Source organism: Homo sapiens, chromosome 4 (assembly GCF_000001405.40).
Source record: "Homo sapiens chromosome 4, GRCh38.p14 Primary Assembly".
NCBI lineage: Eukaryota > Metazoa > Chordata > Mammalia > Primates > Hominidae > Homo > Homo sapiens.
Genome location: NC_000004.12, coordinates 178,948,055 through 178,976,038, shown reverse-complemented (window position 1 = coordinate 178,976,038; position 27,984 = coordinate 178,948,055).

Genomic DNA, 27,984 nt, shown 5'->3' with positions numbered 1-27,984 from the left:
ATATATCTTACTGAAATAATAAAAAAAATCAGATGAAGCAAGATGTATGACTGTACAGCAACTTTGCTGATCTTGTTTTCCTTCAGTAACATTAGCAAATTGCAATGGTATGTTTTGTATAGCATTTATGTAAACCTGTAGGCAACGTTAAAACAATTCTTTCATTAGTTTTATAGGTTCCATTTTAAAATGTTAGTTATGTTTTGTATGATCTAGCAGGTGAAAACACCACAGCAGAATTGGGAGAAGAAAATATTGAAGGCAAGTTACAGATGTTATTTCAAGGACAATATTAGAAAGGGCATCGTCTTGTTAAGAGCTGAATTCAGTGTTTCTACTTTTCTAAGATCACTTTGAAATGGAAATGATAAGAACCTTTAATGTCTTGTCCAAATAAAAAGGTATACAGAAATCAGAGCCATGCTTGGCAAGAGATAAGAGGCATTGCAAATACAGCTGGGTAGAGCAAGTTTATCGTGCATGGTCCCAACAGAATAGTGACAAGATAGAATAGCCGGGGATTTTAAGTGGAGGTACAGAGGTAGTTAGAGATACCTTCTTTATGCATTATCTTGTAATAGTGGGTACATAAATATTTATTTTTTGAATAGCGATATTGTAGCAAACCTGTATCAAAATTGATATATATATATATATATATATATTGCTATTTAGCTTTAGAAATTTCTCCAAAGAATTTCCTCCTTGATATATATTTTCTCTCTTAACTGTGATACAAATTATTTTAATATTATACAGCCTTGCTTATATCATGTATTACAACACCCTGTATATGAATAAAGATGAAAACTGTTGAAGACTATATCCAGATTTTATGATAACTATAAGTGCCAGAAATAAAGAAAGTAAAGGAAACAATATATTTAAAGATCTGTTCAGGAAATTTACACAGATGTTGCAGAGAGAGTTACAGTATTGAGAATATTATTCTGAACTCATTCTAAACACCACACTAAGGAAAAGCTCGATCTATTTTTTTCTTAACTTTTGTTTATCAGAAAGCTTGTACAGGGGACTTCCTACAGTATTGATGCTTGTTATCTTTCTTTTTTTGTTATCCAGAGAGTGCACTTTAAAAAAGTAAATGTACCAGGCACTGTGTTCAATGAGGGAAACTGATAGCTCAGCATTGGACAATTGAGACCAACAGGGTGCTTCTGCTGAATACGGATTCATTGATTTTTCTTCTTTTCAGAAAGACACTACTCCATTTACTCTGTCAAAACCCTTGCTTCCAGGCCATGTAGGTGCATGCTGGGTGTGAAGAAAAATCACATGCTATCAGACAAGTGTCTCTGATTATTTGCTCTTTATTTAGACAAGAGTTTTAGAAAACAAGCTAGTCTTTAGCTAGATTACAAAATTAACTAAGTAGATACACAAAAAAACATATATATGGATTAGCTCACATAAGTTAATAAAAATAAATTATTTAATGTATATTAACTTTCTTTCCATCTGTAAGCTTTACCTTTTCCAAATATAAGCACATATTTCATAATTGATCTTTTCTTCCAAAATGAAAACACGGTTTAGAAAAATTCTTTTGGAGAAAACTGTTAAGAAGTGATGTTTTTAAAACTACTGCCACCTACAAACATCTTTAAAATTAACTTTTCATGGTATTTTAACTTTTTAAAGGGGCTCAATGAAATGAAAATGAGTTTATAAACTGAAGCTTAGTTAATCTGTAAGGACGTTGCATTCTACATATTTAAAGAAAAAAACAACTATGTTTTTCATCTTTCAACAAGGTAAGCTTAAACATCAGTAAAGAAAGGTCCATAATAAACTTACTAAACTTAGATACTAGAAAAAATATAATCATATCTATTACATAACTCTAATTCACTGTTTTATTGATTGTAAGGCAATGTGCCAATTCTGATTGGATTTTTGGGCATTTGATCAAACAATGTGTGTTAAAACTCCAACTATAAGTTCTTTTCTTACCTATACAATTTCTTCAAATACTTGCATTTAAAATAGTTTGGATATAAATGAGACGTCAATTTGTAGATCTTACCAATTGTCAGATATAATTGGCAATTATAATCAGATATAAGCCCTAGGATATAATGTTAAGAATGTTGCGTTGACTGATGACATAGGTCCTTATTTAAGGGAATGTGAAGCAAAGGTGTCAGAAAAGGTTACATATTAGATATCCATACAATTGTTGCACATACTGCTAGTTTTGTTGTTGTTGTTGCTATTATTGTTTTTGTTGCCATTTTAAATAAAACGAGCAACTATTTTCTCTGTCTTTATTAACTATTGAGACAATAGTCTTCCTTGCCATGAGCTTACCAGGATCAACCTTGGTTTATACTGCCACCTAAGTTTGACAGTAACTATTTTTTTTCTCTACATGACAAAGCTCTATTAGGCTGAAATTTTTTCAAAACTATAAAACCTCATGTCATCTTTAAAAAAGTGACAACTTCTAGGTACATTCCTTTTAAAATTAGGCCGAGATATTGAGTGAAGTATTACAATATATTATGGAAGGCATAATAAAATGTTAGGTAGTTGTCACACTGGCATCACAGGAATTCTCACAAACTACAGATTTGCATTGATAAATAAGGAAGCTATGAAATAGACAATAATTAAAGATAGACCATTGAAATCATAAAGAGGGCCATGTTTACTGTATTCATATTTATGTTGCATATCCATTATCTATTTAGTAAAATGGACAGTTAAAAATAGATACTCACTATTCCCCACATCAGGGGAACATATAATTCAGTGCTCTTTCTATCTAATAGATCATAATCTAAATAAAATAAAAATTATCTGTCATATAGGGATATATATATTTTTTTACATATGACCATGAAAATAAATTATTTTCAAATCTTCAACTCCATAGCAGCTCTGTACATTTTATCTGGATCTTGAGTCTTCTCGTGTTATACATTAAGTATTTAAAGAATTGTTTTAAATCTTGCTGTTCATTTGAATACAGTATGGTGAGTTATAACTACAAAATAAGATTTTGAGGACCTGGAAAATATAGTCTTCTTCCAAGTGTCAGACTTGCAAGAAATTGTTTTACTGTTTATTCTGAGGAGGTGAAATTGTTTTACTGTTTATTCTGAGGAGGTGACAATTAATCCTGATTGTCATTTTCTATCCATAAGGAGGAAGGCAATTTGATTAACATGCATATGGCTGAATGGTTTCAAGAACAAACTGAGACACATTTTCCTTAGACAGTTTTGTAAATTATTTTGTACTATGAGGTCAATGGGATTGTAGCCTCTCAGGGATGTGATCTTGACAGAATAAAAGCAACTGCCTATTTTCATTAAAAATTCAAGGAACTCTGAATACTTTTTGAAAATATCATTCAAATATTTCATTCATTTCCTCCAATGTTACTCGAGCATTCTTCTGTATCCTCAATGACAGCTTTTCTCAAACTTTAATGTGAAAACAAATCACATGGGGATCTTATTAAAATTCAAATCTGACTCAGTAGGTCTGAGTTGGAACCCATGACTTCCTTTCCAGCAAACTCCCAAATGCTTATGCTGTTGTTTCTTCGAAACACATTTTGAGTAGGTAATGTTGATGCTTCTGGTTTCTTAAAAGACAGAGTTCTATGGCCATCATGGGGGAATAGTTAGAATTCAACTTCCTTCGGACTTATGCTTGATCATAATCTTAATTATAGGAGGGTTGTTTTACAGTTTTATTTTCTATTTTCATAAAATTAAGGTTTATAGCCAATATTCTCTTTGATTCCTAAGAGAAAGCATGAATTGGAGTAGATTCTAAGAGTTCAGATCTTGTGGCCAATTTTTCTCTATTAGCTGTCTCAGTAACTCACCATTGATTTTGCATACCATAGGTTCTTATTAAGAATTCATATTCACTAACAGACTGCAACCTACAAGAAAACTCTTAAACTTTATGCAAACTTTAAAAATAGTGATAAATGAAAGCAATTTTTTTGAAAAACAAGAATACTTATGCTTAAAATTTTACAGGTTTACTTCATTAAAAGTCCTTAGACATTCATACCTCTCTATGTTCACATAACTTAGTACCTAAACATATAAAGCATCCGTTATCCAAATGATGACAGAAATGGTGGTGAGTACATGTGTGTGTGTGTAATCAAGAAAGACAAGCATATGAACATACTTACAAAAAGAAAAAGAGAAAGAAAGTTGTCAGAATAAGGTGAGATTTTGCACTTTTCACTTCAGCAGCTGTGTTGGAAATAATTTTTCTCCATGTGGTTCTCCAAGACCATGGACCATTCCTCTGCAGCCTGCATTTTCTAACTGGTTAAAGAAAGTCACCTGACTTATACTGCCTTTGCCTTTGCCCTAAATGATATGGAGCATCAATATAATATTGGAATTTTTCTCCTTTGCTGAAAGTCAGAGAACCTTGGTGGTACTGTCTCCATGAGATTTGCTAAATGCATGTTCTTAGTGGTTTTATTCTATTTTATTTTATTTTATTTTTTTGAGACGGAGTCTCACTCTGTCACCCAGGCTGGAGTGCTGTGGTGCGATCTCAGCTCACTGCGACCTCCACCTCCAGGGTTCAAGCAATTCTCCCACCTCAGCCTCTAGAGTAGCTGAGATTACAGGCGTACCCCACCACACCCAGCTAATTTTTGTAGTTTTAGTGGAGTCAGGATTTCACCATGTTGGCCAGGCTGGTCTCAAACTCCTGCCTTCAAGTGATCTGCCCGCCTTGGCCTCCCAAAGTGCTGGGATTACAGGCATGAGCCACTGGACCCTATTTTAAAAAATATTTCTATCAGCATTTCTATTTATACACAAGAAAGCCTTTTAAAATTATTTAAAAATATGATAAATATCATTGTCTTATATTTTTTCTATATCAGACCCCAAATATGCAATGAAATAAAGCAAAACACACTACTACACATTTTATTAACACTGAGAAAAGAAAGCATTCCTTGATTCATGCCCGTGGTTCATTATTTCACTTGCCAAAAATCAACAGAAGAGTAATCATCTAGACTAGCTTGATTTACAATGACACGGGGTTATTGGCTGAAAGATATCTGGGACTGTTGCACCACCAAAATGATCTAAACCTGAGGCAGTATTTCTCTGGACTGGTGCCCTGACTGTCTCTATCTTGTAAACAAAATTTTGTCTCAGAGTGCTTTCAATTTCTTTTCCACCTTAGATTGGCCACTTATAGAAAATACTACTCTATAAAACTAGGATTTTTTCCCATGAACAATTTTTACATAAATGTGTTCCTCTTAAAATGTAGCTTTGTAACCCCCTTATTCAAGCCCAAAAGGAATGAAGAAGGAGGGCTTGAGATCTTGTTCTCCTGATAACAAATTCCATCCTGGCTTGCAGCCTGCTCTTAGCAGGAAAAGAGGGAAGTCACAGCAGGCATTTGCCCCTGGAATATTCAAAGTCTCAATGAATAATTTCAGGAGACCAGGATTAATCTCTCCATGCTTTTTTTGCATGTTTATGTTAATCACCACAAAATGTCCTAAGTAACCAGGTTTTCTCTCAAATTGCAATGTCTCACACCTTAACGGAATCCTATTTTCACACAACACTGCACAAACTTCCACCTCTCTCCAAACATGAAAACCTTTCCACTCCCCTTTCTGGAACACATATCTCATCTCTTTTTTTATTATTCCTTTTATTTTTTTGCCCTAACTGTAACCTGGCTCTTCTCAAAAGATGTTGCTTCTGAACTGCTGGTACCACAGGTTGTGGCAATTTCTCTCCAAGTCTCTCAAATCAGTTGGTAGGAAGATGAGGTTGTATTCTTTGCTCCTCATGGTAACTTACGGATCATTGCTCTCTTTCCCCTAAAACACTCCAAATTTCAAGCCCATGTTACCAGATACTACCTAATTTTTCAGAACAGAATCCATATGTCCTCACAAAATGTCCCAATATACCTGGAGTATATTAACTCTGGAGTTTTATTCTTTTACACTAGTTATGTCTTTGAAGTTCAAAATCTCCAGTGGTTAAGAAATGCCATTGAAAAGGAGGAAAAAAAATACCTTGTTTCTAACTAGAAAACCTAAAGATCTCCTTTATGTCAATAAGAAAAAGGCAAATCAATAGAAAATTTGAAATGGTCAAGAAAAAATATAAACATTGGTGGTTCTTACTTTATTAGTAATAAAGTTTCAAAAAGCAACAAAGACTATGTACCTACCAGATAGACACAAATCAATGTGTTTGATAATTCCAAGTGATGGCAAAAATGTAGACCAAAGGAAGTTTTAATATCCTGCTGATGATACTGTATTGTGAAGGCATTTGTGTATTTTATTTTCTAATAAAGTTAAACTTCCGTGTAGCCTATGGCTTATAGATTGTGTTTCTTGGTATTTAACTAATAGATGTATAACAACATTGTCTATAACTGCAAAACCAAGGAAATAACTAAACATTTATCAGCATTTAATTCTGGCATATTTAGACAATGGAGTTTCATATATCAATGAAAATTTGATTTTTATATGCAAGAACATAAGTAGATTTTACAATTTATGTTAGTGCAATAAACCAGACACAAAATATGTATCCTGATGTCTCCATTTATGTAACATTCAAACAAACCAATCAAAACTATATTTTAGAGGATGCATTTTTAGATGGCAAAACTGTAGTAGAAAACATTGAAACAATTTCAGTTGACACTGGAGCATGGGTTTGAACTTCATGAGTCCACTTAAAAACAGATTTTCTTCTACCTCTGCCACCCCTGAAACAGCAACACCAACAACGACATTTCCTCCTTCCCCTAGGCCTACCCGATGTGAAGATGATGAAGATGAAGACCTTAATGATGATCCACTGCCACTAAATTAATAGCAAATAGATCATCTTTTTTTTGGATTTTTTGGTAATGTTTTATTTTATCTAGCTGACTTTATTATAAGAATACAGTAAGTAATACATATAACATACAAAGCATGTGTTAATCCACTGTTTATGTTATCTGCAAAGCTTCTAGTCAGCAGTAGGCTATTAGTAGTTACCTTTTGGGGGAGTCAAAAGTTACACTTGGGGGCCAGATGCGGTGACTCACACCTGTTACCCCAGAATTTTGGGAAGCTGAGGCGGTGGATCACTTGAAGCCAGGAGTTTGAGACCAGTCTGGCCAATATGGTGAAACTCCATTTCTACTAAACATATAAAAATTAGCCAGGCATGTTGGCAAGTGCCTTTAATTCCTGCTACTCAAGAGGCTGAGACAGGAGAATCACTTGAGCGTGGGAGGTGGAGGTTGCAGTGAGCCGAGATTGTGCCCCTGCACTCCAGCCTGGGCTACAGAGCAGGACTCTAAAAAAAAAAAAAAAAAAAAAAAAAGTTACACTTTGATTTTTGGCTGTATGGGGAGTGGTTCCCCTAACCCCAACATTGTTCATAGGTCAACCATATTGTAAATTTCACTTGTAGCTACCTCTAAGAGTTTAATGGGATTTTGATTGGTAAGGAGTATATGAGGAGCTTTAAATTACTGGGAGTCTTCTATATGGTTTGAAGTTACACAAATATTTCCTTTAAACTATTCAGTATTCAGTGGTACATATGTAACTAAATATGCAACTTCTTTAAAAATATGAAAGATTTATATTTCATATAAAGCTTTGAAATTTCTTTGAACTCTGCATTAGTTTCATATTGCTGCAGTAACAAATTGTCACAAATTTATTGATTTAAAACAATACAAATGTATTTTCTATACATTATCTACATTCCTGAACATCAGAAGCCTAAAGTTAATCTCACTGGACTAAATTCAAGTATTGGCAGTGTTGCATTTCTTCTGGAGTCTCTAGCAGAGTCTATTTTCTTACCTTTTCTGGCTCCCAGAGCTCCCCGCAGTCACTATCTTATGACCCTGTTCTCTACCTTCAAAGCCAGCAATATAGCATCTTCAAATCTGTCTGTCTCTGCCTCTCTTTGTCTTTGTTTATCTCTCTCTTTCCCTCTTTCCCTCCGTCTTTTTCTCTTTTTCTGTCTCATCTCTGTTTTCATCATCACATCCTCTCTGAGTCTCACCCTCCTGCTTTCCTCTTACAAGGACCCTGTGATTACATTGGGTCCACCCACATAATCTTGGATTCTCTTCACATCTTGAGTACCTTAGCTTGATCATAGCTGCAGAGTCTTGTTGCCACATGAAGTAACATAATTCTAGATTCTGCAGATTATTATGTGTACATCTTTGAGGGGCTCTCTCAGTCTACTAAACCTCAAAATTTGCCTTTAGGTGCTTACCCATTTCTCCTCTCACCAGTGCAGTAAAACATATCAAAAAATGTTAGACTCCAGATCTCCAAATCCCAAAGAAATTCCCTTTTCCCGTAGAAACAACTTTATTCAGGTTTTTCTGTCCAATATTGTACGCAAATAGCCTTTGTTACCTATGTTGATGCCAAGACCAGTGCTTAGTTCTCATTCTTCATTATAGGATCAGTAGTTGAACGAGTTGAATATTCTGCATTTCTGGAAACATTTTTATTGTTTATTTCTAGCATATACTTCTACTAAGGCTGCTTCTGTTCAGACCTCTCTGATGATCTCCCCTTATCACCCTGACCCTAGGATGTTGCAGCGTTCTGGAGCAAAATCCTTAGGCAGCTTCTCTTTTCTATTCACATCAAGTCCTTAGTTAATCTCTTCTAGTTTTATTTCTAGATCAATGATTCCAAAATGTGTATCTCCAGCCCATACTTCCTCTCTAAGGAAGCTGACTCATGTCCAGTTGGGTTCTGGATCTCATCCTACAAGACAAAGAGGTATTTCAAACTTCATAACCAGAGCCGAACTTTCAATTTTGCCCACCACAAACTTGTTCTTCTCTCTTCTTAAATGACAACTCCATTCTCTAATATTTCAACTCAAACACCTTGTAATCACCCTTTTCTCCTCCTTCTTACTCACACCTGGCATTGATTTCTTTATAAATATTGTTTATACTCCTTTTAATATATGTCCAGCATTTGATCAATTCTCAACACCTCCACTACTAGCCTCCTAGTGTAGACTTTCAGTTCAGAGACTAAGACATTCATTCAGGCAAGAGGTGAATGTGCATTTTTCTTGTATTATTTATTTATTTATTTTTGCATTTACTATTCTATAGTGTATTCTAAACAGAAAAGCCTGAATCATCCTTTAAAAAGTATGAATCATATATTGTCACTCCTTTGCTCCCAACTCTACAATGTCTTGCTATATTACTCCTAATCAAAGTCCTTATAACAAAACCCTTCATGATCTGACCCTTCGTTCCTCTCTGATTTCATCTCCTTCCACTCTCTCCCCTTTCTTCCTTGCATTACACCTATTATATGGCTTCCTCGCCATTATTCACACATTCAGTCCTGTTCCTCTCTCAAGACTTTTCCCCTTGAATGTTTTCTATTGGAGAGCACATTCCCCACCACCTGCAAACTGCTCTCTTGCTACTTCTTGATAATCACTCAAGAACCACCCAATTAGTGAGGCATTCCCTGAACACCATTAGAAAAGTAAGGATAAGCAGTTGCTGACAAGCCCAGTCCTGATTAATTTTGCTTTATTTCTTTTCAGAATACTTCCATCATCTAACATGACATTTATTTATTTATCTGTTTAAATTTGTTATCTGTTTACCTGTAGAAAACAATCTTACTGACTCTAGCAGGGGCTTCGTTTTGTTCACTGTCGTACCCCCATTTCCTTAGACCAGTACCTTAAGCATAGCATACACTCAATAACTACCTGTGGAATGTACTAGTGCCTTAGCCAGTTTGGACTGATATAACAAAAATACTTGGTGTCTTAAACAATAGAAATTTGTTTCTCATTATCTGTAGGCTAGGAAATCAAAGATTAATTGCTAGCTAATACTGTTGTTTAGGAAAGTCTTTTCCTGGTTTGCAGATGGCTGCCTTCTCGATGTATCCTCATAGGGCAGAAAGAGAGATTGTGTCTCTCATTTCTCTTCTTATAAGGGCACTACATGAAGCCTCCATCCTCATAAGCTAATAACTTTCCAAAGGCCCCACCTCCACATACCAACACAACGGAGATTAGGGCTTCAACATGCAAGTGTTGGAGGGATGCTAATATTCAGTCCATGGCAACAAGTCACTGGTTAAATGAATCCCAACTCTCTATACTCTATATCAAATAAATTGGTTCCTGAAAATTAACAATGCTAAGATAACCAAAGTACCCAGACCAATGTAAAACCATTTAGTGGGCCGGGCACCGTGGCTCACACCTGTAATCCCAGCACTTTGAGGGGCTGGGGCAGGTGGATCACTTGAGTCCAAGAGTTTGAGACCAGCCTGGGCAACATACCAAATCCCTGCCTCTAAAAAAATACAAAAATTAGCCAGGCATGGTGGTGAGCACTTGCAGACTCAGCTTCTCGGGAAGATCACTTGAGCCAAGGAGTTTGAGGCTGCAGTGAGTCAAGATTGTGCCACTGCGCTCTAGTCTGGGCAACAGAGCAAGACCCTGTCCCAGATAAATAAATTAAAAATAAAACCACGTAGTGCCCATAGTTATTTGCTTCAGCTCACAAGAGACAAAGTGGTTACCGAAACATGAGATCTCTGGGAATGGACATCTGAATCGAGGTAAGTGTAACAGCACAGATTGTGCTCCTATCACGTTTCATGACAAGGCTTCGCTGGTGTTTTGGGAAAAGTGGGTCTTAGTGTCATATTGGAGATAGAGGGTGCTATAAAAACTAAGATCTGGAAACTGGTGCCGTTGGAATTAGAATTTTGCTACCATATGTCACCATATAATTTGCACCCTTACACACACTGAGGTGTTCTGGAGGCCTGCACTCACACTGTTACTTAGATTTGTAACAAGGGCTAAATTACTGAAATTTACTGCAAGTCAGGCACATGGTGGCTCATGTCTGTAATCCCAGCACACTGGGAGGCCCAGGTGGGAGGATTGCATGAACCTGGGAGTTCAAGACCAACCTAAGCAACATAGTCAGACCCTGTCTTTACAAAAAATAAAAAAACGAACTAGGTGTGTTGGTGTGCAGCTATATAGTCCAAGCTACTTGGGAAGCTGAGGTGGGAGGATCACTTGAGCCCCAGAGGTTGAGGCTGCAGTGAGTTGCAATCATGCAAAAAAATAAATAAATGAAATAAACAAATAAAAAAGAAAAAAATAAAAAAGAAAGAAAATTATTTTAAAAAATTATAAAAATTTACCATGAGATAGTATTATGCAATCAGAATCCTACTCTCCCATCAGTCAAAAAGACCTTCTGACACATATACAGTTGCAATGATCTCTAGCCAGCTGGTTGTGACTCATACCAAACAACCAATGTAGATTTTCATGGTAAGTAGACAGCATTTTCCCTACTAGTGGAAATGGCCTTTGGTGACCCTTGCTGGTTCAATAGGTAAAGTCCAGAATTTCCAAGGTCAAAAAATATTACAGAACTAATATTTAGCCTATTACCTAACTGTACCTTCTTCTTTCTTATTTGATTTTCCTGAAGCTCTCACCTTGCTCAATTGGCTAACAGATTTTTTTCACGGGCCTTCCAGTGTGCTGTGCAATGCTATTAATTGGACCCTTCATCATTGACATTTAGTCAGGGCCAACTTTATGGTAAGCTGCCAGGGCAGTTTTACAGGGCCCTCTGCTTAGGGTTTAATGTTCTGCCCTGGTCATCTTGACATTTAAATTTGTATTTTGTCAATGAATTCTGGTAGGATAATGGTGGATGAGCTGGGTGTGTGCAGCCCCTATTTACCCAAAGTCACTTTTCCTGTTGTCACTGTAGCATGGGATCTCGGCAGCCCATCTCTTGTTGCCTGGTGCAGCGGTCCTGCTAGCCCTTTTTCTTGCTTGCTGTCCAGTGGGGTTGGGTACCTGCAGCTCATAGCATCTCAGTGCAAGGAATGGTGGCCCATCACCCAAATATCATTGGGTGTCTGGTGAGCATTCATCCACAGGTGGCATCTCTATGAGCATAAGCCTCTCTCCCACCCCCATGCAGATAACTAGTATGACCCAGCACAAAGATTTAAAGATCTTGAGAGTCATCTATCTGCCATGGGTTGGGGCAGTGAGCTTGTGAGAAAGTTTCTGTCTCAAATTCCCCAGACCCCTTCCAGGCTGGAGTGTGGAATGCGAGTTTGGCGGCTGGCAGGAATGAACATTCCACACGACAGGGTGGTAGCCCCATGTACTTGGGAAGGTCCGCACTCCAAGATTACCTCCATGCCTGGAGTGCTCTTTCAGCCAGCTTCTTGCCTGGAAGGAGCCTTTCTTCCTTCTTCAACCCTTTTTGAGTCTGGTCTGTGATTTTTCTGTTTCTGGCCTGCTAGAGGCATCTTCCTGGATAAGCCCCAAGAAACAAATTGCTTAACATTGCTTACTCTGCACACAAGTTAAATGCTCTCATATTTCCACTTAAAACTGTCATTGTATGATATAAAGATGAACAGCAAAATGTGTTCTAATAATTTAAAGTATAAATTTTTCTTTACTTAAAACAACATTAAATAGCAAACAAGAAAACTTACAATAAATCAAGAAAGAGGCTGCAGAGAAAAGGATAATCTGTGCTTTAATGGCATTGTTTTCCTGTTTTTTTATACAAGGAACTCCAGACTTTCCTTTTGCTGTAGGCTCTGAAAATTATGTAGCTGAACCTTATGGTGTAAGCCCTGAATGGTGTGTTGCCTTGACGTTTGGTAAAACCAAGTAGACTCAAATGAATGGCTTGACAAGTTCTCCTCACCGTTCTAGCCCTGTGGATAAGGTCTCCCTAGCCAAACAACCCTCTTTATCAAGGGGGACCAGGTAACACTCCTCCTATCCCTGAGTGGCAGGATGTAGTTCTCTTTCAGACTGTGGAATTATTCAAACAAGCCAAGCACATCCTCCTGCAGGAACCAGGGGGCACCCCATCCTCTTAGCATTACAAAATCTGCCTTCTCCTGCCGCTTCTTGTCCACTCTGTTTCCAAAACAATCTCTGTGTGACCCTGCATGGCATGTAATGTCTTCCTCTCCTTGGCTGTATGTGTATATCCTAAGAAACTGCTGCTGATCACATTTCTCCTGTGTTGAGGAGCACAGGTTCAGCCATCCCCATGATCTTAGGGCAGGTATCCCTCTCTCACCAATGGGGGAAGAGAAGCCAAATACACCAACTGTACCTTTGTTATATTAAAGAAATCATCTTTTAGCTTAGTTTCTAGTTATTGACTGTGTTAGTTATCTATTGCTAGGTAACAAATTAGCCCCAAATTTAGTAGTATAAGACAACAGCCATTTGTTATCTCTGCATTAATGTGGGTCCAGAACTTAGATGTGGATTACCTGTGCACCTCTGGGTTAAGGTTTTTCAAAAGTTTGCAGTCAAGTGTTTCTCAGGGCTGTGGACTCATCTGAGGGCTTGAGTCAGGGGCAGGTTCTATACCAAATTCATGTAAATGATCATTGGCAGCCTTAGTCCCATGTCATGTCTTTCCACAGGGTTGTCTCTCAGTATGTCAGCTGGTTTCTCCTGGGCTGAGAAATCCAAGAGAGAGCAAAAGAATAAGAGAGATAAAAACCCAAGATGGAAGCTGGAGTCTTCTATAATCTAACCTCAGAAGTGACCTCCCATAGTATTTTATTTGTTAGAGGCAAGTCACTATATTCAGGTCCCATTCAAGTGGTGAGAACGATACAAAGGTGTGACTATTAGGAGGTGAAGGTAATTGCGTCATCTCAAAGTCTCAGCTCACCAAAGTCAGCTCCCTGGACTCCCAGTGATTAGCATCCCTTTCACAGGCAAAATATTCTCCCTCCCTCCCAAGGTCTCTGTGATTAGTTTCCCAGAGCTGCTATAACAAAATAGTACAAAGGGATAATTTAAAACAATAGAAAGTTCTTCTGGGGTCTATGAGTCTGAAATTAAGGTGTTGGCAGTGCCATGTTTCCTCCAGTGCTTCTAGAGTTAAATCCTTCTTTGCCTTGTTCATCTTCCGATAGCCCCAGATATTTCTTGGCTTATAACAGCTTAACTTTAATCTGTGCTCCTATATTCACATGGCTTTCTTCCCTTTATGTGTCTCTTTGTCTTCACATGGCATTCTCACCTCTGTATCTCCTCTCCTCTTCTTATAAGGGTACCAGTCACATTGGATTGAGGGTACACCGTACTCCAATGTGACTTCATCTTAACTAATTATATCTGCAATCACCCTTTTCCAAATAAGGTCACATTATACGGGTTCTGGGGTTTAGGACCTCAGCATATCCTTTTAGGGGACACATTCAACCCATATCAATCCCCAAATGCCTCATTCTATTAAAATGATGCTCTGTCAATGACATATGTAAACATTTTTCCACAGTGTGTCTTTTATTCATGTATCAAAAATCTATAAAGTTTTTTATCTTATGAAAAATATAGTTTTATTATTTTTTAAAATTTTCCTCTTTCTATTATATGTTTTTTTCTAAATTAAACAGGAAAATAGATAACTCTGTAACAAATATATAACTGACATACAAAGCAGTAATGCAACTCCAAACAACACCAAAGATGTTGCAGAAGAGTTCTTGAAACTTACATATAGATGCATCCTGTGTTAGTATCTGGGTATCCATAATAAAAGATAGGAATACTGAACATGTACTTTTTTTTTTTTTTTTTTTTGAGACAGGGTCTCGCTCTGTAGCCAGGCTGGAGTGCAGTGGTGTGATCTCGGCTCACTGCAATCTCCGCCTCCCAGGTTCAAGAGATTCCCCTGCCTCAGCCTCCTGAGTAGCTAGGACTGCAGGAGTGTGCCACCACACCCAGCTAATTTTTTTTTTTTTTTTTTTTTTTGTATTTTTAGTAGAGGTGGGTTTTCATCATCTTGGCCAGGATGTTCTCCATCTCCTGACCTGTGATCTGCCCACCTCGGCCTCCCAAAGCACTGGGATTATAGGCGTGAGCCACCATGCCCAGCCAAACATATACATGTTTATTGCTTATTGAGAGAAAGTGAATATTGATTCAAACAGGCAAATTCACACTTGGCTTTTATTTTAAACATTTAAACATAAGTAAACATTTACATATGCCGGCCTACTAAGCCAACTTCGGTTCAGCTATAACCGTGTTCTCATTCAAGTAACAAAAAAATCCAACTTGCAGTGGCTTAAAACACATGTATTATTTTTCTCACATAACACAAAGTCTAGAAGTAAATGTAACCTGCATCAATTCAACAGATCAAAGATGCCAGCCTTTATCTCTCACAGTATTCTCTCAAAGTGTAATGGCTTTATTCCCCATGCTTGTTACTTTTTGTTCACAGACAACTGCTTCTGCTCTAAAAAAATGCATTTATTTGAAAGACAGGATGACAAAGAAAAGGGCGCAATGCTATCTACTCTTTCCCCATTTATAAAAAAACAACAACAACAACAAAAGAAAACACTTTCTACAAAACAAAACTCTCACTAAAAAAAAAATCTATGCACGTGTCAATGGCCAGACGTTGAGTCACACAGCCACTGCACTTGTGAATTCTGAAGTGGCAAGTGGCCATAATCATCACAGTGGAGCTCAATATTTAATGCAAGTTGATTTCACTACCTCTTTTTTTAAATATCGAAGACAAATTTATTTCTGTGCAAAACTCAGTGAACATAAAACAACAAAAAGGGAGCTCTAATTAAAGAAAATAACTTTTTGACTAATATGCAAATATCACTAGTGGTTAAGTTTGAATAATAGAGAGAAGTCATCATTATTTCTAGAACCAATATCTTGCATAGACAATTTCTATAAGAAATTCTGGGCTGGGTGCAGTAGCTCATGCCTGTAATCCCAGCGTTTTGGGAAGCTGAGGCAGGTGGGTCACGAGGTCAGAACTTTGAGACCAGCCTGGCCAATATAGTGAAACCCTGTCTCTACTAAAAACTAAAAAAATTAGCCAGGGGGCTGAAGCAGGAGAATCAATTGAGCCCGGGAGGCAGAGGTTGCAGTGAGCCAAGATTAAGCCATTACACTCCAGCCTGGGCAACAGTGTGAGACTCTGACTCAAAAAGAAAGAAAGAAGGAAAGAGAGAGAGAGAGAGAGAGAGAGAGAGAGAGAGAGAAGGAAGGAAGGAAGGAAGGAAAGAAAGAAAAAGAAAGAAAGAAAGAAAGAAAGAAAGAAAGAAAGAAAGAAAGAAAGAAAGAAAGAAAGAAAGAGAAAGAAAGGAAGGAAGAAAGAGAAAGAAAGATCTGGGCCGGGCACTGTGGCTCACGCCTGTAATCTCTGCAATTTGAGAGGCCGAGGTGGGTGGATCACCTGAGGTCAGGAGTTCAAGACCAGCCTGGCCAACATGGTGAAACCCTGTCTTTACTGAAAATACAAAAATTAGCTGGGCATGGTGACAGGCAACTGTTATCCCAGCTATTCGGGAGGCTGAGGCAGGAGAATCACTTGATCGTACTACTGCCCTCCAGTCTGGGTGACACAGTGAGACTTTGTCTCAAAAAGAAAAAAAAAAATCTGGTAATTTTAAAGAGTAGAACTTTGTGCTAGCTTTCTGGTCGAAATATTCCCAAGCCTTACACATATTTCCTGCATATCAAATGTTGCAACCAGATTTGTCTCTATGTGACTCTGTTTTTGTTGAGATTATTTCTTATATTTTCGTTAGTTTATACTTGCTACTTTTAATTATTCTGTACATTTTTATGTGTCTTGGATCACTTTCTCTCTAATGTTTGCTTTGAGTCAGCCAATGCCACAGCACTGTACAACCATTAGAATAGCTGTCTAAATTATAATGCCTCAATGTTAATCATAGCATCTAAAAGAGATGTAGTGGCAGTTTGTCGACAAAATGACAATTATTATGGTAAGTCACTCATAAACAGACATGGATTGCAGAAGATGGTTCAAATGTCTCCATTTTTCTCATTTATTTGCTTTGGATACATACAGAATTGATATCAGATGGTCATTTAAGTGAAAAAAAAAAGTGCCTCTTTTGTTTCTTTCCATATTATTCTTCCCACCTCAATTCTCTTTCACTTTTGCTTTTCAATTCTCTCATCAGCTTCTATTCATACCAATGCCTAGTTCTAGCTTTTTGTACGTAGGGTAGTTATAGATTCTTACAGTTGGTACTCAGTAGATTAAGGGTTTCTGGATTATTCAGAATAGAAAGACAACACACAGTCGGAGATAAATATTTGCAAACCATGTGTGTAACAAGGGACTTATATTCATAAAATATAAAGGACACTAAAAGCTCAACAATACAAAATCAAATCAATTAAAAATGGGCAAAATATTTTGAGTACTTTATCAAAGAAGATTGCAAATGGTAAATAATTTAAATGAATGGAAGATGCTGAACATCATAAGTCAGTAAGAAAATCCAAATTAAAACCACATGAGATACTGTTGTATTCTTATTAGAATTGGCCAGAAAATGTTAATATCAATTGCTGGCAAATATGTAGAGCAACTGGTGCTCTCATACATTTCTGTTAGAAATACACATATCAAAAAGAGTGAATTCTGGCCGGGTGTGGTGGCTCATGCCTGTAATCCCAGCACTTTGGGAGGCCGAGGAGGGTGGATCACCTGAGGCCAGGAGTTCGAGACCAGCCTGGGCAACATGGTGAAACCCCATCTCTACTAAAAATACAAAAAATTAGCTGGGTGTGGTGGCTATATTGATGTAGCTATTGTACTGATCAGTTGTCAAATTCTCATAAAATATGACATATATACAGTTACCACACTACACAAAAATCTCACTCCTGTGTATTGATCTGAGAAAAATGAAAACCTGGGTTCACACAAAATTTGTACATGAATGTTTACAAAGACTTTATTTCTGATTACCCAAAACTGAAAACAGGCCTGGTGTGGTGGCTCACGCCTGTAATCCCAGCACTTTGCGAGGCCGAGGCAGGTGGATCATGAGGTCAGGAGTTTGAGACCAGCCTGGCCAAGATGGTGAAACCCTGTCTCTACTAAAAATACAAAAATTAGCCAAGCACAGTGATGGGTGCCTGTAATCCCAGCTACTCAGGAGGCTGAGGCAGGAGAATCACTTAAACCTGGGAGGTGGAGGTTGCAGTGATCCGAGATTACACCACTGCACTCCAGCCTGAGCGACAGAGCGAAACTAAGTCTCAATTAAAAAAAAAAAAAAACTGAAAACAATTCCAATGCCCTTCATTCATCTGTGGACTGTATAAACAAACTGTGGAATAATTATGCACTGGACAAGTCCTTGGCAATGAAGAACAAACTAAAGACACATACAATAATATGAATTATTGCAATGCATCACAAATGCATCATGCTAAATGAAAGCCAGACTCAAAGACTACATATCATATAATTTCATTCATATAATATTTTGGAAAAGGAAAAACAATAGAAACAAAAATTATATCAGTTGTTATCAGGGGCTGGTTGTAGGGAACAAGAAGATTCTAAACAGGCATGAGGGAATTATATAATGGAAATATTAAATATCTTTTGTTGTTGTTGTTGTTGTTGTTGTTGTGTTGTCACCCAGGCTGGAATGCAATGGCGCCATCTCAGCTCACTGCAACCTCCTTCTCCTGGGTTCAAGTGATTCCCCTGCCTCAACCTCCCAAGTAGCTGGGATTACAGGCGCCCACCAACACGCCTGTCTAATTTTTGTATTTTCAGTAGAGACAAGGTTTCACCATGTTGGCCAGGCTAGTCTCGAACTCCTGACCTCAGGTGATCCACCCACCTCGGCATCCCAAAGTGCTGGGATTACAGGCATGAGCCACCACACCCAGCCTAAATATCTTTATTTTGGTGGTGTTTACATAATGTATATGTTTGTCAAGAGTCACAGAATTCTATGTCAAAAAAAGTGAATTCTGGCTGGGTGCGGTGGCTCACACCTGTAATTCCAACACTTTGGGAGGCCGAGGTCGGTGGATCACCTGAGGTCAGGAGTTCGAGACCAGCCTGGCCAACATGATGAAATCCTATCTACTAAAAATATGAAAAATTAGCTGGGCATGATGGCGGATGCCTGTAATCCCAGCTACTTGGGAGGCTGAGTCAGGGAATTGCTTGAATCTAGGAGGCAGAGGTCACATTGAGCCGAGATCCTGCCACTGCACTCCATCCTGGGCAAGAAGAGTGAAACTTCGTCTAAAACAAACAAACAAACAAAAAACAAAGAGTGAATTCGGCTGTATGATTTTTATCTTAATATTCAAAAATAAAAAAGATATAATTTCTTTGACTTCTTCCCCAATCTTTGGTATTGTAGTACTAAAAAAACAATTATTGTCCTTCCTCCCCATTAATTTTGCTTTTTGCCTCCATACACACAATAATTCGCATTGCCCTTTGCATTAGTCTGTTCTTGCACTGCTCTTAGTACGTACCCGAGACTGGGTAATTTATAAAAGAAAGAGGTTTAATTAACTTACATTTGCACAGGACTAGGGAGACCTCAGGAAACTTACAGTCATGGCAGAAGGGGAAGCAAACACATACTTCTTCAAATGGCGGCAGGATGAAGAAGTGCAGAGCAAAGTCAGGAAAGGCCCCTTATGAAGCCATCAGATCTCATGAGAATTCATTTTCACAAGAACAGCCTGGGAGAAATGCCCCCATAATCTAATTACCTTCCAGAAGATCCCTTCCATGACATGTGGGGGTTATGGGAACTACAATTCAAGATGAGATTCGGGTGGGGGCACAGCCAAACCATATCACCCTTTATACCTTCTATATTCATAATCAGACCACAGCATGATCCACGGAGGCAATTACAATTTTTGAATTGGAAAGGGGAAGGTTACAAAACAAAAGAGGCAAAAGTTTTTTCATTTATAGAGCAAACTATTGGAAATATATGTGAAAATAAATTGTAAGTGTGCTGGTATAAAGAAGAGGCAATACTTTTATATCAGGATCAAATAATCAATATCAATTACCAGAAATTCTGAATTCTCATCCAAAAGGAAAGAAGTATTTTATCTGTTTAAGAAACTGGTTGAATAAAATGTGGATATAATGGTGGTTATCTCTAAATGAACTTGAGATACTAGGCTACCTATATAGAATGCAGAGAAAAAAATGCAGGGCTTAGACATATAAAAAATTAAAATATATTTAACACACATGACCTATATTTGTATTTGTATTGTTAGTCATGGTTCAGAGTACACAACATTCAACAAGCCATTGGGGACTGATTGGTTAAGGTAATATCCACATTCTTGAAAGGTGAAGTAATTAGTGGCTTTTCTCTGAAGCCAAGAATAAAAGTGAAGAAACAGCTATATAAATGGGTTTCCTAATATTAACAAGGATGACTGGATATTGGAGTCACAAGTGGCAGTAATTAAATGATAGATAATTGAACAGACTTGTTTAATAGTAATAGGCAGGAAGGCCAAAATTATATGGTGGTGTTAATTTTAATGTAGAGTTTCAAAGTTTGAATCTGTAGAAGCCAACATAAATTTATCCTTGCTATTAAACCACAAATTTTAAATTGTCTGACATAAAAGGATATTTGACTTAAGGAAATTTAAGATTTAAATTTAATTTTTAAACATAATATTTAAAATTTTAGACTGGAGAGTTTTAGCCTATACCCCATTCCCTTAGTGGAACTAGTTCACACCCCCACTCCTTCCTCAATGAGGGGGAAGCTGTGAATCTGTGAACGGCCACATTTATGGGCTTTATATACAGCTGCTAGTCTTTCCCAAAGGGACTGAAAACAATTTAACCATGTACCCATGCAGTGAGGAAAGAGAAATACCGAGACTTTGGGGGATTACTGAATACTGGCTCTGAAATAGTAATAATTACTACAGAATTAAAATGACTTTCTGGTTTACTATCATAATGGGGGACTCAGATGATAAACAGGAATTTTGACTTGAATCCATTCTCATGAGCTCAGAGTGTCCCTAAATGCATACTGTGATTATTTTTCCATTTTGAATTAACTGTTGGCATCAACACATACAGACACAGGAAACATTCTTCTTTTAGTTATGTGACCTATGGAGTGAGAGATAATGCTGTAGAAAGAGCTAAGTTAAATCCCGAGAACAGCCAATCCCCTAGAATTAGTAAACCAAAAGCAATTATCACACTGATGGAAAAATGGCAGTTTCTTCTTCAGGAGAATCTTAATGAAACAAGCAATGTGCAAATAAAACTCTGATCTCTTTGGCAAAGGCAGAAAATTGAGAATCTACTTTTGGCATGTTATTGGTTACGGGCAGAAAGTTAACCCCTGATCATGGAATACCGAGTCCCCATGAGACAGACAGCCCATCAGTATTTGAAGTTTAGAATGTAATGTGACAGAGGTAGAATAGGACAAGCAGAGCAACTGATGAGGCTTTAGCCTCGCTTTTTGGAAAAAGAGTGAGCATGTTTTCTTTTGTGTGAGCAAGATTTACAACCTGTTAAGGATGATGTTGCTGTACTTGTTTTTAGATTGAGTTACAGGATGATGTGGATACTGAGGGCTACAATGGACATGATTATTTTGCACTCTACCTCCTTTCCAATTTGTTTCTAGTGAATAGCCCATTGGATAAAGGCTAAAAATCTAAAAATGGATGTATTCTTTGCAAATAGAGATATTGATACAAATTGGGTTTTATCACTAACATGCCCAAACTAGAGCATGGGATGACAGAAATGCCAAATTCCTGCTGCTTTTTTTTCTATATTTGCTGGCAAGTGGTTAGATTTACTATTCCATATACATACATATATTTATGCGTGGAGACAATTGTAGTGGTGCTTGTGGTGGTGGTGGTGGCGACGGCGGTGGTGGTGGTGACGGTGGTGGTGGTGATGGTGGTGTGGGTGATGGTGGTGATGGTGGCAATGGTGGTGGTGGTAGCAATGGTGGCAGCAGTGGTGGTGATGGTGGCGATGGTGGCAATGGTGGTGGTGGTGGCAGTGATTGTGTTGGTGGCAATGGCAGTGGTGGTAGCGGTGGTGAGGATGGTGGCGATGGTGGTGGTGGTGGTGGCGGTGGCAGCGGCGGTGATGGTGGTGGTGGTGATGGTTGTAGTGGTGGTGGTGATGGTGGCGATGGTGGTGGTGGCGGTGGCGGCACGGTGAAGGTGGTGGCAGCGGTAGTGGTGGTGGCAGTGGCGGTGATAGTGGCAATGGTGGTTGTGGTGGTGGTGATGGTGGTGGTGTGGTGGCGGCACGGTGGTGGTGGTGATGGTTGTGGCAGTGGTGATGGTGGCGGTGGTGGTGGTGATGGTGATGGTGTTGGCGGTGGTGGCGGTGGCAGTGATGGTGGTGGTGGTGATGGTGGTGATGGTGATGGTGGTGGTGGCAGTGGTGGTGGCGGTGGCGGTGATGGGGTGGTGGTGGCGGTGGTGACGGTGATGGTGGTGGTGGTAGTGATGGTGGTGATGGTGGTGGTGGTAGTGGTGATGGTGGTGATGGTGATGGTGGTGGTGGTAGTGGTGGTGGTGGTGATGGTGGTGATGGTGATGGTGGTGGTAGTGGTAGTGATGGTGGTGATGGCGGTGGTGGTGATGGTGGTGGTGGTGGTGGCAGTGGTGGTGACGGTGGTGGTGTTGGTGGTGATGGGGGTGGTGGTGGTGGCAGTGGTGGTGGCAGTGGTGCTGTTGGTGGTGGTGGTAATGGTGGTCATGGTAATGGTGGTGGTGGTGATGGGGGTGGTGGCGTGGTGGTGGTTGTTGCAGTGATGGTGGTGGTGGCTCTGGTGGTGACAGTGTTCTGCAATGCCTTCCTGATACTTGGAGAGAAACCACACTATGGCATGAATGATTTTAACAATAGTTCGAGTGGCAGACTCTAAAGAATATTCTTCCAATAATTTTATAAGCACCAAGTTCTTCTACTAAATATCTTCTCTCCTTAATATACTTTGAATGGTTTCTGTTTCAGGCCCTGAATCCCTGACTGGAAGGAGGCACAGTGATATAAAAAATGTAAGAACTATAGAATGAAAACAGAATACATAGTTTTAAGGCAGTGAATATAAAAGAATAAAAAGAGAAAACCGACTCAATTTAAAAGAAAGTGTGCAAAGAGAAAAGAACTATGAGAAATACATGACAAAAGAAAAGTAAACAATTAGAGTATGCAAAAAAGTTTAAATATAATACTAATAAAATAAAGGAATATAGACAGACTTCTAAATTTACTAGGTTAACACTGACAGTTCAAAGACAATCAGCTATATGCTCTTCACAGAAAAATAACTCAAAATAGATAAAAAGGGGTGAGGCTAGTGTTCCATTAATGGAACGCTAAGTATGTAGGAGTTATTTATATCCTACTGCTTAAAGTCATCGCCAAGGTCTGATGGCAAAAATTCAAAAAATTGCAACCTCGGGCATAAATGGGTTAAAGTATAAACAAAATATATCAAGCAAATGCCAATCAAATGAAAGTTTGGGTAGCCGTTCTTTTATGCACTTAACAATATATGTTCAGCATATATAAATTGACAGAAATACATGGAGACATTAAGAAATACATCAATATAGTGAGATATTTGAAAATGACTTTCACACATAATTAATCCATTGGTCATACACGTGAGCACATACACGAAAACAGTGACAAATACCACATAGATTCAAAGAGCGTAATTGACAAGATGTGTTTGATGGAAATATTAATATAAGGATTCCTACATTCAGCAATTACAGGAAACACATTTTTTACATACATATCATACTTTTTTTTAAAAAAAGTCAATAATAAAAGCAGTCATAACATTTTAAAAAAAGAATAAAAAAATGAAAACCTTAAGTAACAGGCAGAATGCAGTGTGATAGAGTTCAAAGTAAGGATCTAAACGCATTCTTTCGCCTGTGGATTTCTAATGGTCCCAGCACCATTTGTTGAAGAAGACTATTCTTTTTTATTCCCCTGTTGAATGGTCTTGCCGCTCTTACTAAGTATGTTGATGATAAATGTGTGGGTTTATTTCTGCACCGTCAACTCTATTTTATTGATTTATATGTCTATCTTTGTGCCGGTACCAAAATGTCGTGAGCACCACAGCACTGTAGTAAGTTTTGAAATCAGGAAGAGTGAGTCTTCTATTTTGCTCTTCTTTTTAAGATAATTTTGGTTATGTTAGTTCCCTTGCAGTTGTATATAAATTTTAAAATCAGCTTGTAGTTTTCTGTACAAAAGTCATCTGGGATTTGAGGGGGATTTTGTTGAATCTATAGATCAGTTTGAGGAATATTGCCTTGTTAACAGCATTAAGTATCTGATACATTAACATGGAAATTTTTCCTAAATACTTAGGTTTTTTCAGCAATGTTTTATAGTTTTCAGAGAATAAATTTTGCATTTTTAATTAAATTTATTCCTAACAATTTTGTTTTCTTTAAGACTTTTTTCAGTTGAGTTGAAAGTATATAGAAATACAATTGATGTTTTATATTAATTTTTTATTCTACAACTTTGCTGAACTCACTTATTTGTTCCAATAGTTTTTTAGTGGAATCCTTAGGATCAACAAGATTGTATAAACTGTGAATAGAGATAGAATTACTCCTTCCTCTCTATTATAGGTGACTTTTATTATTCTTTCTCTTGTCTAATTCCTCTGGATAGACCCTCTAGCATAATGTTAAATGGGATCGGTGTTAGTGACATCCTTTTTGTGTTCCCAGTCTTAGTGAGTAGGCATCCAGGTGTTCATCACTAAGTATAATGTTAGCCATAGGTTTTTCATAAGTGATCTTTGTTAGGTTGAAAATGTTCTCCTCTATTCATAGGTTGCTGTGTGCTTTTTATAATAAAAATGCATTGAGTTTTGTCAAATGCTTTTTCTGAAACTGTTGAGATTATTATGAAATTTTTGTTTTTTATTCTGTTGATATAGTGTACTACATTGATTGATGTTTGAATAAGCCAGCCTAGAATTCTTTTCATATCTCATTGACCATGGCATATGAATCTCTCTATATGTTGCTGAGTTTGATTTGCTAGTATTTTGTTGAAGATTTTTGCGTCCACACTCATAACAGATACTGTTTCGAGGTTTTACTTCTTTATGATGTCTTTGTCTAGTTTTCATAGCAGGGTAATACTGGCTTCATAAGTTTGGGTATCACAGTAATACTGGCCTCCTAAGTTTGGGTATCACAGTAATACTGGCCTCATAAGTTTGAATATCAGAGTAATACTGGCTTCTTAAGTTGGAAAGTGTCTCTTCCTTTTTCAGTTTTTGGAATAGTTTGTGAATAATTGGCATTAATTCTTTAAATATTTGATAGAATTAAACAGTAAAGCCATTTGTACCTGGGCTTATTTTATGGGTAGGTTTTTTGTTACCTTGTTAATCTTTTCACTTACAGATTTACTCAGATTCTGTAGCTCTTCTTAGTTGGTTTTACTAGTTTGTATCTTTCTAAGAGTTTGCCAATTTCATCTAAGTTATCTAATTTGTCTGTGTATAGTTGTTTATAATATTCCTTTATCTTTTTTATTCAATAAGATCAGTAGTAAATGTCCTCTCTTTCCTTTAAGATTCCAAAAATTGAATCTTCATTTATTTTTCTCCTTTGATCCGACTATCTAAAGGTTTTTCAATTTTGTTAGCTTCTCCAATGAATCAGCTTTCAGTTTTATTAATTTTCCCTATTGTTTTTCTATTTTCTTCATTAGTTTCTGTTCTAATCTTTATTATTTTTTCAGCTCACTGTAAGTTAAGTTTGCTCTTCTTTTTCCAGAATTGTAAGGTAGAAGTTTAAGTTATTCATTTGAGGTATTTCTTTTTCTTAATATAGATATTTTGGAGCTATAATTTTTTTCTCTAACTACTGTTGTAGCTTCATTCAAAAGTTTTAAAATGTTATGTCTACATTTTCATTAATTTCAAAGTATTTTCTAATTTCCCTTTGATTTTTTTATTTGACCAATTGGTTATTAAGTAGTATGTTATTTAATTTTAAATAGTTGTGAGTTCCCTAAATTTTTCCTGCTACTGATTCTAATGTCATTCCATATGGTCAGAAAGTATACATTTATCTCTATCCTTTTAAATGTGTTGAAGTTTGTCTTACAGCCTAGAAGATATCCTAGAGAAAGTTCCATGAGCACCTGAAATGAATGTATATTCTGTTGTTGTTGGATTGAGAGTACTTTAGATATTTGTTAGTTCTATGTAATTTTTGAAGTCTTCTATTTTTTAATCTCCTGTCTAGTGGTTGTATCCATTATTAAATGTTTAGTATTGCAGGTTTCTAGTATTACTATTGAATTTTCTATTTCTCCTTTATTTTCTGTAAGTTTTGTGTAATGTATTTTAGTGCTAGGTTATTAGATGTACAGGTGACTATAAGTATACATTCTTGATGAATTGACCTTTTTATTATTATAAAATATCTATCTTCTCTCATTGTCTCTGGTAACGTTTTTTAAGGTCTATTTTGTCTAATATTACTATAGTCACTCTAGCTTTCTTGTGTTTACTATTTGCATGATATATACGTTTCCGTCCCTTGATTTTCAATCTATTTGTATTTTTGAATCCAAATTGTATTCCATGTAAAGAATATATAATTATATCATATTTTTAAATCTAGGCTGACAATCTCTGCCTCATGATAAGATTGCTTAACCCATTCACATTTTATGTTACTATTGACATAGTTGACAACATCTTCAACTATATTAACTAAAAAATTTTAATTCTGTTTCTATATGTCTCACGTATTTTTTGTTTCTATATTCCTCTTCTGCTTTTTTCGCAGTGAATAGTTTTTGATATAGCATTTTAATTTCTTCAGTGATTTTGTCATTAAACATTTTTGTGTTAATTTTTTTGTTTTGTTTTGGTCATTCCTCTAGAATTTACAACATATATTGTAACTGATCAGAATCAACTTTGGATGTATACTAACCTAGATCCAGTGATATATAGAGATGTTACTCCTATAGAGCTTTATTCATTTTCCCCTATTGTGTTGCATCATTTTATACATATTACATCTATTAATGTTACAATTCCAGTAATAGGTTGTTATATTATTTTACCACATGCAGCCATTTCCTTTGCCTAATATAGCATTTCCTCATCTATCTTCTCTGTGTTATTATTGCTAAATATATTACACATGTAACTTTTCTATATGTTATAGTATCAACAATACATTATATACATATTATTTAATACATATATTTTATTATATATTTGCTTTTTATATATATTATATAAATAAATATATATATAATATATTTGCTTTTTATAAATCTGTAAAGGGACGAAAAGAGGAAAAAGCATGCCTGTAAACTCTCTTGTATAATAACATAGCTAGATGAATTGTTTTTTTTTTGTTTTGTTTTTGTTTTTTGAGACGGAGTCTCGCTCTGTCGCCCAGGCCGGACTGCGTACTGCAGTGGCGCAATCTCGGCTCACTGCAAGCTCCGCTTCCCGGGTTCACGCCATTCTCCTGCCTCAGCCTCCCGAGTAGCTGGGACTACAGGCGCCCGCCACCGCCCCCGGCTAATTTTTTGTATTTTTAGTAGAGACGGGGTTTCACCTTGTTAGCCAGGATGGTCTCGATCTCCTGACCTCATGATCCACCCGCCTCGGCCTCCCAAAGTGCTGGGATTACAGCTAGATGAATTGTTGCACTTTGTTTTTTCCTGTGAATTTTTATTACCAGTGGAATCACTTGCTTTCAGCCAGAAAAACTTTTAGTATTCTTTGGCAAATATACTAACAGAAAATTATTTCCTTTTACGTTTATGTAGGAAAGTCTTTTTTACCTCCATTTTTTAAAGATTCGCTGGACTTAGAATTGTTGGCTGTTTTTTCCTTAGAGCACTTAGAATATATTACCCCACTGCCTTCTGTCCTTTAATGTTTACACTCAGGACACAACAGTTAATCTTAGTGAGCTTCTTCTCTAAGCAATGCATCATTTTTGTCTTGCTCCTTTCATA